Here is a 17,941-nt window from a genome sequence, read left to right on the forward strand (position 1 = left end):
TGTAACTGGTTGTGATCAATTAGTTGTAAACACCACCGCACTTGGACGAGCCATGTGCACCTTTCTTGCTAACCTGTTAAACCACAAAGACTTAACTCTTTGGGACTGTGGTATCTGGATCAGTGATATTTTGATAGCTAGAAAGTTAAACTGGGCCAGTGTCTGAAAGAGATGTCAGTGAAAACCTCACCCCTTCATCACTCAGTACATGCTGCTGTCAGTCTAACAGTCTTGCTCAGGTACAATAGCAGAAAATACTTTATAGTTAATTAGGGAGATAAGGAGTTAGGAAAAGTATGAAGTGTGAAGTGAACTCATTTTTTTTAGGGAGAGAATTTATTTTTGCTAGTGATATTTTTCCTGTGCCTTGGGATGACATACATCTCCCTTTCTGCATCTGAAAGACAGATGCAGGACGCAGAACATTGTCTTTTCTCATCCTCTTACCTTTGCTCAGTCTATAGAGGGATTTAACATCAAAAATTAAAATTGAATGAGTCATGCTTCCTGTATGCAAAATGTGGAAGAATCTGAGATTTTACATAAGTTTAGGGCCTATAAGGATGACTAAAATATTATTTTGATTCAAGCCAGAGAGTTTTGCCCTACTCTTTGAAGGAGAAAAAGATAAGGAATTTTCTTTTCCATTTTGGAAGTAACTAATTTTTTATATTGATTTATTCATAGGCAGTAAGCTCTCTGGTCACTGAGTTTCTTTCTTGGTCCAGTATGTTTGAAAAAACCTTGAGAGTTCTTTTGTTCATAAAACCCAAATTTGAATCTGCTACTAAGCTGTTATTAGTCACATATCCAGGATAAAATACAAACATCATTGGGTATGGTGGCTCATGCACTTTTGGAGGCTGAAGGAGGATCACTTGAACCCAGGAGTTTGAGATCAGCCTGGGCATCATAGCGAGACCCTGTCTCTACTAAAAAACTAAAAATTAGCCAGGCGTGGTGGTGCACAGCCTGGGGAAGAGAGTACAAAAAAAAAAAAAATATATATATATATATATATATATGTATGTATGTGTGTGTGTATATATATATCTCTCTCCAAACAATACAAATAATCTTTGCAGTAGCGCCATCATGGTTGACTGTAGCTTCAACCTCTTGGGTTCAGTTGATCCTCCCACCTCAGCCACCTGGGTAGCTGGGACTACAGGCTCATGCCACCACGCCTGGCTAATTTTTTGTATTTTTTTTTTTTTCATAGAGACAGGATCTCACTATGTTACCCAGGCTGGTCTCGAATTCCTGGGCTCAAACGATCCAGCTGCCTTGGCCTCACAAAGTATTGGGATTACAGGCATGAGTCAACGTGCCCTGCCTTGGAAGTAGTACTTATATGTGTGTGTCTCTGCCTTCCACATTGAGACCTAGCACAGTACCTGACATAGGTCCTCTCATTTAATAAATAGATGTGGTGGCCGGGTGCGGTGGCTCACGCCTGTAATCCCAGCACTTTGGGAGGCTGAGGCGGGCGGATCACGAGGTCAGGAGATCGAGACCATCCCGGCTAACACAGTGAAACCCCATCTCTACTAAAAATACAAAAAAATTAGCCAGGTGTGGTGGCGGGCACCTATAGTCCCAGCTACTCGTGGGGCTGAGGCAGGAGAATGGCGTGAACCCCGGTGGGTGGAGCCTGCAGTGAGCCGAGATCGCTGCCTGGGTGACAGCGAGACTGTCTCAAAAAAAAAAATAATAATAAATAAATAAATAAATAGATATGGTTTGGGCTGGGCACAGTGGCTCACACCTGTAATCCCAGCTAGTCAGGAGGCTGATGCAGGAGAATCACTTGAACCTGGGAGGTTGCCGTGAGTCGAGATTGCGCCACTGCACGCCAGTGACAGTGTGACAGACTGCATCTCAAATAATAAATAATAATAAATAGATATGGTTTAAGCATGCTTTGTGTGTCAGGGATGGTGCTGACAGGTCAGTACATTTTTTTTTTTCTTTTTTTGTGTTGGGGGGATAGAGTTGCTCTGGTACCCAGGTTGCAGTGCAGTGGCGCCATCTTGGCACACTGCATCCTCGAACTCCTGGGCTCAAGCGATCCTCCAGTCTCAGCCTCCCAAGTAGCTGGGACCACAGGTGTGTACCACTATACCGAGCTAATTTTTAATTTTTTTATACAGATAGGGTCTTGCCATGTTGTCCAGGCTGGTCTTGAACTCCTGGGCTCAAGCAGTCTTGCCTCAGCTCTCAAAGTGCTGGGATTACAGGCATGAGGCACTGCACCTAGCCTATTTTATTGTTTTTGCAAAGAGGATCTCACTGTGTTGCCCAGGTTGGAGTGCAGTGGCTATTCATAAGCACAGTCCCACTCTAAAACAGTTTGAACATCTACCTCTTGGGATTGTTACAGAAGATAAAGTAGTTGGTGTAAAGTACCTGCAGTCACTCAATAAATGTTAATTCCCTGTTGGAGAAGGAGGATGCCCCAGGTGAGCCATCTTCCTGCTCCTTAGAAGAGAGCTGATTTTAACTTGCTAGTGTCATCATCTTCGAGTTATTTTGCATCTCCTCGTAGCCTTCCCATTTGATCCTTGTCGTTCTTCTCCTTCAGATCTATGGGAGTCGTCAGATTATACTGGAGAAAGAGGAAACAGAAGAGCTAAAACGGTTTGATGATCCAGGTTTGATGCTCATGGGTTTCAAGCCGTTGGTACTGCTGAAGAAACACCATTACCTGAGGCCCTCCCTGTTCGTGTACCCAGAGGAGTCGCTGGTGATTGGTAAGTAGCGTGGACCATGGATGAGTGACTCTAACACACAGTGCAGTTTACGGAGCAGCGCTTTGTAAATGGGCACTGCTTGGACACTGTACAGGAAATGTTAATGGAGTATGTTGAAAGTGTTTCAAGCTCTGCCTGGTGCAGTGGCTCACACCTGTAATCCTAGCACTTTGGGAGGCTGAGGCGGATGGGTCACCTGAGGTCAGGACGAGCCTGGCCAACATGGTGAAACCTCGTCTCTACTAAAAATACAAAATTTAGCCAGGCCTGGTGGCTTGCGCCTGTGATCCCAGCTACCTGGGAGGCTGACGCATGAAAATCGCTTGAACCTGGGAGACAGAGGTTGCAGTGAGCTGAGATCACACCACTGCACTCCAGCCTGGGCCATAGAGTGAGACTCTGTCTCAAAAAAACCAAAAGTGTTTCAAGCTCAAATTTTGGAAATGTGGGAATGAAGAAAGTTAAACAGATTTTTTTTTTTTTTTTTTTTTTTTTTTTTTTTTTTTTTTTTTTTTTGGAGATGGAGTTTTACTCTTGTCACCCAGGCTGGAGTGCAGTGGTGCAGTTTCAGCTCACTGCAACATCTGCCTCCCGGGTGAGGACTGTGGAATTTAGCTTTATATATATATATTTTTTTAATTTAATTTTTTTTTTGAGACAGTGTCTCACCCTGTCACCCAGGCTGGAGTGTAATGGTGCAATCTCGGCTCACTGCAACCTCCACCTCCCTGGTTCAAACGATTCTCCTTCCTCAGCCTCTGGAGTAGCTGGGATTACAGGCACCTGCTACCACGTCTAGCTAATTTTTGTATTTTTAGTAGAGACGAGGTTTCACCATTTTGGCCAGTCTGGTCTCGAACTCCTGACCTCGTGAGCCACTGCACCTGGCCTTATTTATATTTATATTTTTATTCATTTTTTTGTTGTTGTCGCCTAGGCTGGAGTGAAGTGGCGCAATCTCGGCTCACTGCAATCTCCGTCCCCTGGGTTCAAGCGAGTCTCCTGCCTGAGCCTCCCAAGTAGCTGGGATTACAGGTGCACGCCACCACGCCCGGCTAAATTCTGTATTTTTAGTAGAGATGGGGTTTCACCATGTTGGCCAGGCTTGTCTCGAACTCCTGACCTTAGGTGATTCACCCGCCTCGGCCTCCCAAAGTGCTGAGATTACAGGCGTGAGCCACCACGTCCAGCCTGGAATTTAGCTTTTTAAAAACAATTTCCCATGTAATTCTTTGAAGCATCAGATAGCAAAAAGCAAACAAAACCAAAATAAGTCCACAGCTTTTTCTCCAGTGTTGGAAATTAAAGAGGATGTGAACCTTGCCGTTGTGTTTATTTGTGCAGTCTAGACCCTATCTTCTTTTGTGCTATGGCTCATGAACACCCCAGATTTGACTCGATTGGTTTTCATTAGTAACTGGGGTCATGTCATTAACCTAGTGTCAGTAAAAGTGAACTGACATTAATAATTTGCTTTTTTTTTTTTTTTCTGGAGACAGTGTCTCACTCTGTCACCCAGGCTAGAGTCCAGTGGCACCATCTTGGCTCACTGCAGTCTCAAGCTCCCAGGCTCAGGTGATTTCCCACCTCACCCTCTCGAGCAACTGGGACTACAGGTCCACACCACCACGTCCAGCTAATCTTTTGTAATGTTAGTAGAGACAGGGTTTTGCTATGTTGGGCAGGCTGGTCTCAAACTCCTGGGCTTAAGCAATCTACCTGTCTTGGCCTCCCAGAGTGCTAGGACTGTAAGCGTGAGCCACCTCACCTGGCCAATAATTCACTTTCTGTTTGTTTGTTTTGAAACAGTCTCACTCTGTCGCCCAGGCTGGAATGCAGTGGCAATGTCTCTGCTCTCTGCAAGCTCCGCCTCCTGAATTCAAGCGATTCTTCTGCCTCAGCCTCCCAAGTAGCTGGGACTACAGGCGTGCACTACCATGCCCAGCTAATTTTTGTATTTTTAGTAGAGATGGGGTTTTACCATACTGGCCAGGTTGGTCTCGAACTCCTGACCTTGTGATCCACCCGCCTGTGCCTCCCAAAGTGCTGGGATTACAGGCGTGAGCCACCATGCCCGGCCATAATTCACTTTCTTAAGTGGAATGTTTGGGGCTTCTAAACCTCTTATTCCTTTTTAAATTTTCCTTTCTGTGTCTCTGCTGTCCCCATTTTCCCCTCAGCTGTGGGGTCCTCCAACCCTTACCTGTTGAGATATTATAAGCCCTTTAAAGGCTTGGTGTGGTGGCTCATGCCTGTAATCCCAACACTTTGGGAGGCTGAGGCTGGAGGATCACTTGAGCCTAGGAGTTGGAGACCAGCGTGGGTGACTTAGAGATACTTTGTCTCTACAAAAAATCTTAAAACTAGCTGGGTGTGGTGGTGTGTGACTGTAGTCCCAGCTATTCAGGAAGCAGAAGTGGGAAGATTGCTTGAGCTTGGGAGGTCAAGGCTGCAGTGAGTTCTGATTGCAGCACTGCACTCTATCCTGGGTGACAGAGCGAGACCCCGTCTCAAATAAATAAATAATAAAATTAAAATAAGCCCTTTAAAGAAAATGGAAGAGAAACTTTAGGGCTAAAAGAGAAGAAAGGAGGAAACCTTTTTAGGAGGCTAGTCACTGGGCTTTTTGTTTTCTAGGGAGCTCAACCCTGTTCAGTGCTCTGCTCATCAAGTGTCTGGAGAAGGAGGTTGCAGCATTGTGCAGATACACACCCCGCAGGAACATCCCTCCTTATTTTGTGGCTTTGGTGCCACAGGAAGAAGAGTTGGATGACCAGAAAATTCAGGTGACTCCTCCAGGTATGTGGCAGAGATATTTCCAGGGCTTCTGAACCTTGCCCATACTTTGGAATCATCCATGGACTCCTAATGCAGACCTACTGAATCATAGTCTCTGGGAATGGGGCTTAAAAATGTCTATTTTTAAGCTTTCTTGGGTGAATTTAGTGCACAGCCAGGTAAGGCCACTAAATATGGTGATGGGGTGCACAGCATGCGCAGCCGTACAAGGCTGATCTGCAGCTAGGATAGAGAAATGTCTGCCTAGGGGACTGTTTGCAGATTACTGACACAAGTTCTTGGGACCTCACTGCCGACACCTTTCTTTCCAAAGCCATTGTTTGGCACCCTTGTAATGTCTAATGTTTGGTTTAGTTCCTATACAAACCAACCATGGGGTTTGCCAAGATAGTGAGGTATAGCGGAAAGACCATGGATTTTAAAGTCAGATTTGACTTTATCTTGTGCTTATGTGTCTGGAAGCTTGCTTGCTTTTGTTTTGGGCCCATCTCTGCTGCTTGTTAGCTGGTCAACGTGGGCAAGTAATTTAACCTTTCTGTTTAATATTCCTTAGCTACAAAGATGGGCGTTCTGGAGCACCTTTCCCTCGGGGTGGTTTTACATTTGAGATGAGTTACTGTAGTTTTAACTTTGATCCTCAGCATGCTCAGGAGTGCTCAGTTACTAAGCTATTGTATCTCAGCTCCAAATTCACCCTTTTATGCTCTGCACTACTGAGGCTGAAATGATCCAAACCTAATTTCATCTTTCACAGCTGGCTCTCAGGCTGTGTCTATAGTGGGTGCTAGAGGGAGACCAAAGGGCAGAGGAGAGGTGAGGGATTTGCTTCTTCCTGTTTGCTCAGTGTGGTCAGCATTGTCAGCAAAGGCTTTCACCTGGTAGCAGCAGTTAGTTACAGGGCGTAGATTTTTTAGTCCTTCCAGAACCAGCCAGTAACTGAACTAAAATCAGCCTGATAACTCTTACCTGTTTCCTTTTATTTATCACGTGGTAGAGGGTAAGGAAAAAAGGGGCGAGGGTGAAGCTCAGAGAAGGCCCCCATGGAGCTGGGACTTAGCCCTCCAGGGAGGAGGCACTGTCCGGCTAGCTCTGGATGTATCAAAAAAGCTGGAGACTGGAACCAACTGCCGCCAGGTAAAGGGTCTTTGCTGGGGCAATACAGGTAGGAACAGTAAATACAGGAGGGCCGCAACCACAGTTTTGCTTTCTGCAGTTTCAGTTACCCATAGTCAACCATGGTCCAAAAATTTTAAGTGGAAAATTCTAGAAATAACTTAAAAGCACAATCCCACCTGGGGCAGGAATCATCTGTTTGTTCAGCATCTCCACACTGTAAATGCTACCCACCAGTTAGTCACTTAGTAGCTGTCTTGGTTATCAGATTGACTGTCAAGGTAATCAGTATTGCGGTGCTTGTGTTCAGGTCACCCTTATTTAATAACGGCCCCAAAGCACAAGTGTAGTGGTGCTGGCAGTTTGGATATACTAAAGAGAAAGTCATAAAGTGCTTCCTTTAAATGAAAAGGTGAGAGTTCTTGACTTTAAGGAGGAAAAAAATATATGCTAAGGTTGCTAAGATATATGGTAAGAAGGAATCTTCGAACCACAAAATTGTTAAGGGAAAAAATTCATTTTAGTTTTTTTTTTTTTTTATGCTGAGGTTGCTAAGATACATGGTAAGAAGGAATCTTCTATCCACAAAATTGTTAAGAAGGAAAAAGAAATTCATCTTAGTGGCCAGGCGTGGTGGCTCACGCCTGTAATCCCAGCACTTTGGGATGCCAAGGTGGCGGATCACGATGTCAGGAGATTGAGACCATCCTGGCTAACACGGTGAAACCGTCTCTACTAAAAATACAAAATTAGCCAGGTGTGGTGGCAGGCTCCTGTAGTCCCAGCTACTTGGGAGGCTGAGGCAGGAGAATGGTGTGAACCCGGGAGGTGGAGTTAGTGAGCTGAGATTGCGCCACTGCACTCCAGCCTGGGTGACAGAGCGAGACTCTGTCTCAAAAAAAAAAAAAATAGTTTTTTCCCCCCCTTCTTTTTTTACATAAATTGAGACAAGGTCTCACTATGTTGCCCAGGCTGGTCTCGAACTCCTGAGCTCAAGTGATCCTCCTGCTTCAGCCTCCCAAAGTGCTGTGCTTACCGACGTGAGCCACCATGTCCGGCCCAAGCTAGTTTTCCTGTTGCACCTCAAACTGTAAAAGTTACTGCCACAGTACATGAGAAGTGCTTAGTTAAAATAGAAAAGGAGGCCAGGCACTGTGGCTAATGCCTGTAATCTTAGCACTTTGGGAGGCTGTGGCAGGTGGATCGCCTGAGCCCAGGAGTTTTGAGACCAGCCTGAGCAACATGGTGAAACTCTGTCTCTGCAAAAAAATAAAAAAAAGTAGCCAAGTGTGGTGGCATTCACTTGTAGTCCCAGCTACTTGATAGGCTACTTGAGCCGGAGAGGTAGAGGCTACAGTAAGCTGTGATCACACCACTGCATTCCAGCCTGGGTGATAGCAAGATCCTGTCTCAAAAAAAAAAAAAAAAAGATGAAGGCTGGGCGCGGTACCTCACGTCTGTAATCCCAGCACTTTGGGAAGCCGAGGTGGGCAGATCCCCTGAGGTCAGGAGTTTGAGACCAGCCTGGCCAACATGGCGAAACCCCATCTTTACCGAAAGTACAAAAATTAGCCGGGCGTGGTGGCGCCTGTAATCCCAGCTATTCAGGAGGCTGAGGCAGGAGAACCGCTTGAACCTGGGAGGCGGAGGTTGCAGCGAGCCGAGATTGCCCACTGTACTCCAGCCTGGGCGACAAGAGTGAAACTCCATCTCAAAAAAAAAAAAAGATGGAAAAAAACATTAAATATTAAATTTATGAACGTATGACATGGACAAACATGTTTCAATTGACGGCAGTCAGGTTTGGTGCTGTCCGAGGTTTCAGGTATCCTCCCGGGTTCTTCAAACATATTCCCCAGGGATAAGGGATCTACTGTATACAGGAAGGGGCACCCCTCCTCCCTTGCAGTCTTCTGGAAACTGCAGAGGGAGTCTGTTAGGCAGATGATAACAAAAACCAGCTGGTGGAGTTCAAGAAATGGGGCCTACGGGGCCCCAGCCCCAGCACCACAGGACATAAAAGGAAGAATTTGGAGCTGAGAAACAAGTGACTGCAACACTTGAAGTCAAATCAAAGAAAATTTATCTCCTTTCTTCAGGCTTCCAGCTGGTCTTTTTACCCTTTGCTGATGATAAAAGGAAGATGCCCTTTACTGAAAAAATCATGGCAACTCCAGAGCAGGTGGGCAAGATGAAGGCTATCGTTGAGAAGCTTCGCTTCACATACAGGTGAGTCAATCTCAGGCTTTCTGGAACTGCCTCCTGAGTTGAAAATCTTATTAGAAACAGCTTGGGCATAGGCCAAGAGAATGGCACTACTCTTTTCAGCAAACTGACAGATTACTACTTGTTATTAATAGTTTTTTGAAAGCCATATAGAGAATGGAACCTTTTATTATGTTGGAGACTCTGGGATTTTGTGGTTTCTCTGTTGTGCTGTACTTAGCCAGATTAGTTGGTTGAACAAATTTGAAAAAATAGCAGGATTCTTATTCGCCCTTCTCCTTGATTGTGTTTGTTATTCCACAATGAGCAAAAGTAAATAAATCTAGTGTAAATTGTTAAAGGCTTAAAAGAATGATTAAGTAATTCAAGTCATTCCCTCTCACATATATAATAGACCAACTCTCAGAGCCTGCATAATGGGACACTAAACGTAATTTTTTTCACATGTCATTTTTAAAAATTTATTATTATTATTATTATTATTATTATTATTATTATTATTATTATTTTGAGACAGGGTCTCTTGTCACCCAGGTTTGATTGCAGTGGTGTTACTGTAGTTCACTGCAGCCTTGACCTCCCTGGGCTCAGGTGATTCTCCCACCTCAGACTCCTGAGTAGCTGGGACCATACCCTTGCACCACCACACCTGGCTAATTTTTGTATTTTTTGTAGGGACGGAGTTTCACCATGTTGCCCAGGCTGGTCTGGAACTCCTGAGCTCAAGCCATCCGCCTGCCTCAGCTTCTCAAAGTGCTGGATTACAGGCATGAGCCAGGGTGCCCAGGCTGGTTTGCTTTCTAAGTTGACTTGAGACAAAGTCTTGCTCTGCCATCCAGGCTGGAGTACCGTGGCACGATCATGGCTCACTGCAGCCTCGATCTCCTGGACTCAAGCAGTCTTCCTGCCTATGCCTCCTGAGTAGCTGGGACCACAGGCGTGCACCAACATGCCTGGCTGATTTTTAAATTTTTTGTAGAGACAGGGTCTCACCATGTTGTCCAAGCTGGTCTTGAACTGCTAGACTCAAGCATTCCGCCTACCTTGGCCTACCAAAGTGCTGGGATTACAGGCATGGGCTACTGCACCTGACCTCAACTGTTTTACTTGGGGTGTTTTTCTCAGCTCACCCCGGACCTGTAGTATCTCAGGTGGTTTTATTCTAATTTTTTCAATGTTTAAATTGTCATGTTTCAGTTGAGTTACATTATTGTTTTAACAGAAGTGACAGCTTTGAGAACCCCGTGCTGCAGCAGCACTTCAGGAACCTGGAGGCCTTGGCCTTGGATTTGATGGAGCCGGAACAAGCAGTGGACCTGACATGTAAGGAGGTTGAATAGAGTAGTTCTTTTCATGGGAGGCTTTCTTACTGGTTCCACTCTGCACCAGTAATTTGGGTGCATTTCCCAGTCCTCTCTAAACACTTAACCTCATTCCCCAGACCCCCTCTGTTTGGAAGCTTTTCCAGACCAGCTTAAACAGCCAGGGAACAGATTTGGCTGGTTCCATAGTGAGAGGAGGAGAGTGTCAGGCTTCTGAGACCTGCCTCTGCACTAGGCCGCCCTGTGACTACATGCTGGTGAAATTTAAAAAATAATATAAGAGGCTGGGCACGGTGGCTCATGCCTGTAATCCCAGCACTTTGGGAGGCCGAGGCGGGTGGATCACGAGGTCAAGAGATTGAGACCATCCTGGCCAACATGTCTCTACTCTGTCTCTACTAAACTCTGTCTCTACTAAAAATACAAAAAATTAGCTGGGTGTGGTGGCGTGTGCCTGTAGTCCCAGCTACTCGGGAGGCTGAGGCAGGAAGATCGGTTGAACTCAGGAGGCAGAGGCTGCAATGAGCCGAGATTGCACCACTGCACTCCAGCCTGGTGACAGAGCGAGACGCTGTCTCAAAAAACAAAACAAAAACAAAAAATCAATAAATAATTTAAGAGGAAATAAGTGGTGGATTTGGGTTTAGAATCCAGCGACTCGCAGCCGGGCGTAGTGGCTTACGTCTGCCTCCTAGGTTCAAGCTATTCTCGTGTCTCAGACTCCCGAGCAGTTGGTCCCCGCCCGGCTAATTTTTGTATTTTTAGTAGAGACGGGATTTCGCCATGATGGCCCGGCTGGTCTCAGAATGATCTATTTTAGACAAAATAGCCCCAGTGTTAAAAGCAGAAGAGTTATTGGACCATTGTTACTGTGGTGCCTGCTTAGCTGTGTCTGGCGAAAGAGAAACGTTTTGAGCTAAACAGCCCATCTCCTCCTTTCAGGCCTTAGGCAAATTCAGAAGTCGGTGGCCTAGTGCCTAGCAAGGTAGTTTAGGACACAGGTGCCTGCCACCAAGCCCGGTTAATTTTTTTGTATTTTTAGTAGAGACGGGGTTTCACTGGGTTAGGATGGTCTCGATCTCCTGACCTTGTGATCCGCCCGCCTTGGCCTCCCAAAGTGCTGGGATTACAAGCAGGAGGCGCTGCGCACGGCCTATTTTGTGTTTTTATTAGTGATTGGGTTTCACCATGTTGGCCAGGCTGGTGTCAAATTCCTGACCTCAAGTGATCCACCTGTCTCGGCCTCCCAAAGTTCTGGGATTATAGGCATAAGCCACCATGCTCACTACTTTTATTTTTATTTTTAGTACTGAGCATAGGCTGGACCTCAGTACATTCATTCATTCATTTGAGACAGGTTCTCACTCTTGTCACCCAGACTGAAGTGCAGTGGTGGGATCTCGGCTCACTGAAACCTTTGGCTCCCAGGCTCAAGCAGTTCTCCTGCCTCAGCCTTCCGAGTAGCTGGGATTACAGGCACCCGCCACCATGCCTGGCTGATTTTTGTATTTTTTGGTAGAGATGGGGGTTCACCATATTGGCCAGGCTCATCTTGAACTCCTGACCTTAGGTGATCCACCCGCCTCGGCCTCCCAAAGTGCTGGGATTACAGGCAAGAGCCACTGCACCCAGCTTCTCTGTACTTTTAAAACTCTACAGATGATTCCCAGATTGGGAGCCAGTGCTCTTGCAGAGGTTCCCATGATGTGGACCAGGGGACTTCTGATGCAGCAGGAGCACAGTTTGGCTCCAGCATTGTGCCATCTAGGTACACCAGCAAGAGCTCCCCTCCATGCTTGGCAAATACGGGCATGTGAGCTGCCCATCTCATCACCCTTGCCCTTGATGTGACACAGCTCATGTCAGAAGCTTGATTTAACAATATAGTTGTAAGCTAACAAAAAAGGAAACAAAAGTATGATCTTTCCTCCAAAGTTGCCTTTTCCTGTCATACTTGCTCCCCCTGTTTCAGCCAGTCATCTCCCCATCCCACTCCTATTCTTCTTACATTCTGGTTTCCAGCTCTGTGATTTCAGTTAAATAATAAATCCTATTCTATCAGTAAGTCCTGCCAGTTCTGTCACTTCTCATGTTTATGGGTCCTCCCACCCACACCCCACTTCACCTGTCTTATCTTACCCTCTTTCAGTTCACCCTCCATGCAGCTATCAGGGGATTCTTTGGATAAGGCCTAATTCCTTGGCAGGCATCCCAGCTTCCATGACCTCATCATACCCATCTTTCTCACCTCTCTGCTGGCCCTGTCCTCCTTAACACCCTACCTTCCAGCTATATGTCACCTGCTATTTCTCTCCCAGTGCCTTCTGCTTCTTATCTTTCACCACCCCTCCTGTGTTCCAGTGTGCCTGTACAGTCGCTTCTTGCATGGTGTTGCCCAACTCCACTGCATCGTTTTTATCCACCTCCTCTCTCTCACTGGGCTGTAAGCTCACCGCAGGCATGAGCACTTGTTTGAATTCCCAGAATCTAGCTTAGTATCTCCACTGTACCACTGCCCTTTGGGAAAGTCATGTAATCTCTCTCCTTTTCTCCTCTGTAAAACTGGGGACAAATCAAGAGGCTGAGGCAGGAGAATCGCTTGAACCAGGGAGTCGGAGGTTGCAGTGAGCCAAGATCGCGCCACTGCACTCCAGCCTGGCAACAGAGCAAGACTCCATCTCAAAAAAAAATCTAAAAAAAAAAAAACTGGGGACAAATTTACCTATCCTATAGGTTGTTAGAAGGAGTAAATAGAGTAAGTTTAAAGCATTTACAACAGTGCCTGGCGGTAGTATGTGTAATTACAGTAAATGCAGGTGTTGGAAGGTACTTGGTAAATGCTGGAAAGACATTTCCCTAGACCCCTCCCACCTTAGCAGTTAGGTGCTCTCTCTTCTGGTTCTCAGAGAGTTCTGGAAGTGGACAGCAAGCTGGGGCTCGTGACTCACCAGGCCACTCTTCTGTGTTTTGATTTTCTAGTGCCCAAGGTTGAAGCAATGAATAAAAGACTGGGCTCCTTGGTGGATGAGTTTAAGGAGCTTGTTTACCCACCAGATTACAATCCTGAAGGGAAAGTTACCAAGAGAAAACACGGTGAGAAGCTGAATGTGGACATGTGGGCTATTTTTAAAAATTGCTTTTATGATAGTCTTATCACAGTGGGCAATATCCTTTCAGAAATATCTATTCACAGTCTAGTTAAAATGGCTTTTATCCAAAAAACAGACAATAACAAATGCTGGCAAAGATGTGGAGAAAAGGGAACCCTCATACACTGTTGGTGGGAATGTAAATTAGTACAGCCACTATTATGGAGAATAGTTGGGAGTTTCCTCAAAAAGTGAAAACTAGAGCTACCATATGATCCAGCATACCATATGATCCAGTCAGTATATACCCAAAAGAAAGGAGATCAATATATCAAAGAGATATGTGCACTCCCATGTTTATTGCAGCACCATTCACAATAGCCAAGATCTGGAAGCAACTTGTGTCCATCAACAGATGCCTGGTAAAGAAAATGTGGTACACGTACACAATGGAGTACTATTCGGCCATAAAAAAGAATGAGATCCTGTCATTTGCAATAATATGTTAAGTGAAGTAAGCCAGGCTCAGAAAGACAGACATTTACATGTTCTCACTTATTTGTGGAATCTAAAAATCAAAACAATTGAACTCATGGAGAGAGAGCATAGAAGGATGGTTACCAGAGGCTGAGAAGGGTAGTGAGGCATTGTGGGGTTGGTGGGGATGGTTAATGGGTACAAAAAAAAAATAGAATGATTAAGATCTATTCGATAATACAACAGAGTGACTATAGTCTAATTTAATTGTACATTTAAAAATAACTAAAGGAATACAATTGGAATGTTTGTAACACAAAAGATAAATGCTTGAGGGGATGGATACCCCATTTATGCTGATGTGATTATTTCACATTGCATGCCTGTATCAAAATACCTCAGGTACCCCACAAATATATATACCTAGTATGTACCCACAAAAATTAAAAATGAAAAAATTTTAGAAAAGAACTGTCTATACAACCATACATATTTACACATACCAACATACATATTTCAGCACAAATGGAATAATACATTGTTTTCTAGTTTGCTATTTTTGTTACTCAGCTATATATGTTGGACAGTTATTTATATCCACACTTACCTATCTCATTTTTTAAAAAATGAGGCTGCAGAGTAGTTCATTGGATAGATATACCAGGTTATTTAACCAGACCTGTATTGACAGGTGGATATGCTGCAGTGAACATGCATTTCCATCGTGTTCTTGTGTGAATAGATCCACAGGATGCATTCTTGCAGTGAATTGCTTCCAAAACAGTGATTTACCCTCTATCCAAGAAGGAGTGAATGTTTTCCTGCACTCTCACCCTTCCAGGACTTAATTTTTTTAATTTCTATTTAAAATGATACAGAAGTTGGCCAGGTGCGGTGGCTCACACCTGTAATCCCAGCACTTTGGGAGCCTGAGGTGGGCGGATCATGAGGTCAGGAGTTCAAGACCAGCCTGGCCAACACAGTGAAACCTCGTCTGTACTAAAAATACAAAAATTAGCCAGATGTGGTAGTGGGCGCCTGTAGTCCCAACTACCTGGGAGACTGAGGTAGGAGAATCCCTTGAACCCGGGAGGCAGAGGTTGCAGTGAGCCGAGACCACACCATTGCACTCCAGCCTCGGTGATAGAGTGAGACTCCATCTCAAAAATGATACAGAAGTTATATCCTTTTTTTGTTTTTAGACAGTCTTGCTCTGTCACCCAGGCTGGAGTCCAGTGGCTCAATCACAGTTCACTGGCTCACTGTAGCCTCAACCTCCTGGGCTCGAGTGATCCTGCAGCCTCAGCCTGCTGAGTAGCTGAGACTGCAGGTGCACACCACCATGGCCGGTTGATTTTATTACTTTAGAGCCAGGGTCTCACTGTATTACCAAGGCTGGTCATGAACCTGTAAAAGATTTTCAAAGGAAGGAAGGAATGACTTACCCAGAGTGAGCAACAGTTTTGGGTAAACTGATGGCATTCACACTACTTGTAATTTCCTCCTAGGTGTGATCTGTGTTTTATTTTGCACTTTAAATGAAGCTACCTTATCGAGATAAGTCTTCCCCATGGTGTCCTAGGCTGGCATCACAGCTTTATGGTTAATTGCAGCCCAGATTATACGAGGTCCCCCATGCCATGTAGCTGGGATGCCACTTGTATGTAGCATTTCCAGTCACTCTCTCCTGACCTTTCCCCCCAGATAATGAAGGTTCTGGAAGCAAAAGGCCCAAGGTGGAGTATTCAGAAGAGGAGCTGAAGACCCACATCAGCAAGGGTACGCTGGGCAAGTTCACTGTGCCCATGCTGAAAGAGGCCTGCCGGGCTTACGGGCTGAAGAGTGGGCTGAAGAAGCAGGAGCTGCTGGAAGCCCTCACCAAGCACTTCCAGGACTGACCAGAGGCCGCGCGTCCAGCTGCCCTTCCGCAGTGTGGCCAGGCTGCCTGGCCTTGTCCTCAGCCAGTTAAAATGTGTTTCTCCTGAGCTAGGAAGAGTCTACCCGACATAAGTCGAGGGACTTTATGTTTTTGAGGCTTTCTGTTGCCATGGTGATGGTGTAGCCCTCCCACTTTGCTGTTCCTTACTTTACTGCCTGAATAAAGAGCCCTAAGTTTGTACTATATACTGTTCTTTTGTGTGAAGGAGAAAGGTGTGTATGCCTTGCATCCAAAACTTGCTAGCCATCACTTAGCTTAATTTTCTCTTTCATTGGGAACACTCATCACCACAATGGAAACAAAACAAGTATCAGAGGGGCGGGTGAGAGTGTGACGGGTCAGGGCAGGCGAAGGCATTTTGGGAGTAAGAAGCCCTAGCAGGATTATATTATCCTTATCCTCTGTCCTCTAGCCTGTTTTCCTTTAAATGTGTCATGTTAAGGTATAAAAATCAGATTTCTGAAGCAGTAAGAAGGTAACACTTAGTTCTGGGGCCATTTGCTTCGTGAGTAAACAGCAACTCCTTCTCATTGCATTCCTCTTAATGCAACATTAAGTCATGCAAAAATATACCCATTTTCTGTTGCCCTGAGAATTTGGGTTCCAGAATAAGTGAAATGAAGAGTTACTCCTCTTGTGTTTCAGGGGAGCTGTAGGAAATTCAAGATGAGAAAATGTCCTAGTATTTAAAGAAGGGGAAGAGGACAGGAGTGTCTTTTACCTTTTCTTCTTCTACATCCCTGCTCTGTCCTCCCTGTCCCTTTCCTGCTCATTCTACTGCCACTGCTTTTGAAGAATTAGCCTGAGGGAAGGAAGGAGAGCATCTGGAATTGTTGGTCTCCTCTGAGGATGTGAGTAAGGGTTTGCAGGTCCTGTGTCCTTCAGGACTAGAATGAGCAGCACCTCATGAGGAAGAGTGTAGGAGGGGCCAAATTACTCCTTTCAGCTTTGGATTCTTGGCTCTAAGCTTTATAGGTTTTTTTTTTAACCTGTTATTGCTTTTGTTTCTGTTTGAAAGGAGATACTGTATTTTTTTGTATTTCCTTACGTGTCTGGGCAAGAGGGGAAGATAATTCTCCCATTAGATGCTTAGAAATTGTTGAGAAATTGGACCATTCCCCTTAAATGGAGCAAGTTTGGAAACTGGATTCTATAGGGGGTTAATCTACCAAGGTAGATTGAAATTACACTAGTCACAGCCAGTCACCTGCAATAGGAGGGCAAGGAGTAGCCCCACTGAGCCCTTGGTATCCGACCCTGGATGCTGGAGCTAGTGAAGAGCAGCCCTGGGGTGAGCTCCAGGCTGGCTTTGCTGTGCACACTATGCCCAAGCCTACGCTCCTTTGCCTCCTACTTCCAAAATGGAGAGAATGAGAGTTCAGAGGTCAAACACCTACCAGAGCCAGGCAGGTATGTGAATGTTAGACAAATCACCCGAGGTCTGTGATAAACAGCAACAGAGTGATATTTCTCTGTAAATCAATGATGCCTTCTCTGCCTGCTGAGTCCCCCACCCAGGAGAGAAGAAATACCATGTTCCAGTGGAATTGGTTAGGCCTTTGGAAGCTCACGAGGCTGATTTAGCAAATTTACATCTTAGTGCCATCATATATACAAGTGACCTTGGGCAGTTTATGAGGCATTTTGAGCCTTAGCTTCCACATTCTTATAATAACGTCACATGGTGAAAATGAGAAAATACGTAAAAGAACATGGCACTCAATAGATACAGTTGGCCCTCTGCATCCGCAGGCTCCACATCGATGGATTCAACCTACATGGATCAAAAATATTTGGGGGCCAGGCGTGCTGGCTCACGCCTGAAATCCTAACACTAGGAGGCCCAGGCAGGCGGATAACGAGGTCAGGAGTTCGAGACCAGCCTGGCCAGCATGGTGAAACCCCATCTCTACTAAAAATACAAAAAATTAGCCGGGCATGATGGCGTGCACCTGTAATCCCAGCTACTCGGAAGGCTGAGGCAGGAGACTCGCTTGAATCTGGGAAGCAGAGGTTGTAGTGAGCCGAGATCGCGCCACTGCACTCCAGCCTGGGCAACAGAGCGAGACTCTGCCTCAAAATAAATAAATAAATAAATAAATAAAACTTGGGGAAAAAATCGATGGCTGCGTCTGTACTCTTGCTCTTGTCGCCCAGGCTGGAGTGCAGTGGCGCGATCTTGGCTCCCTGCAACATCTGCCTCCTGGGTTCATGCGATTCTCC

General features: G+C 45.4%; 1 protein-coding gene across 5 annotated transcripts in view; it reads left to right on the top strand.

Annotated features, from left to right (window-relative positions):
• XRCC6 (X-ray repair cross complementing 6) overlaps positions 1-15,903 on the top strand; it is a 42,747-nt gene extending 26,844 nt beyond the window's left edge. For all 5 annotated transcript variants that reach the window (NM_001288976.2, XM_047441304.1, NM_001469.5 and 2 more), the window contains 6 exons: positions 2,585-2,753; positions 5,391-5,552; positions 8,765-8,894; positions 10,114-10,214; positions 13,193-13,306; positions 15,484-15,903. In NM_001288976.2, coding sequence (NP_001275905.1) covers positions 2,585-2,753; positions 5,391-5,552; positions 8,765-8,894; positions 10,114-10,214; positions 13,193-13,306; positions 15,484-15,677 — 870 coding nt within the window. In that variant the 3' untranslated portion in view covers positions 15,678-15,903. The remainder of the gene's footprint in view (positions 1-2,584; positions 2,754-5,390; positions 5,553-8,764; positions 8,895-10,113; positions 10,215-13,192; positions 13,307-15,483) is intronic.
• Positions 15,904-17,941: the final 2,038 nt, after the last annotated feature.

This window comes from Homo sapiens, chromosome 22, assembly GCF_000001405.40.
Source record: "Homo sapiens chromosome 22, GRCh38.p14 Primary Assembly".
Taxonomy (NCBI): Eukaryota; Metazoa; Chordata; class Mammalia; order Primates; family Hominidae; genus Homo; species Homo sapiens.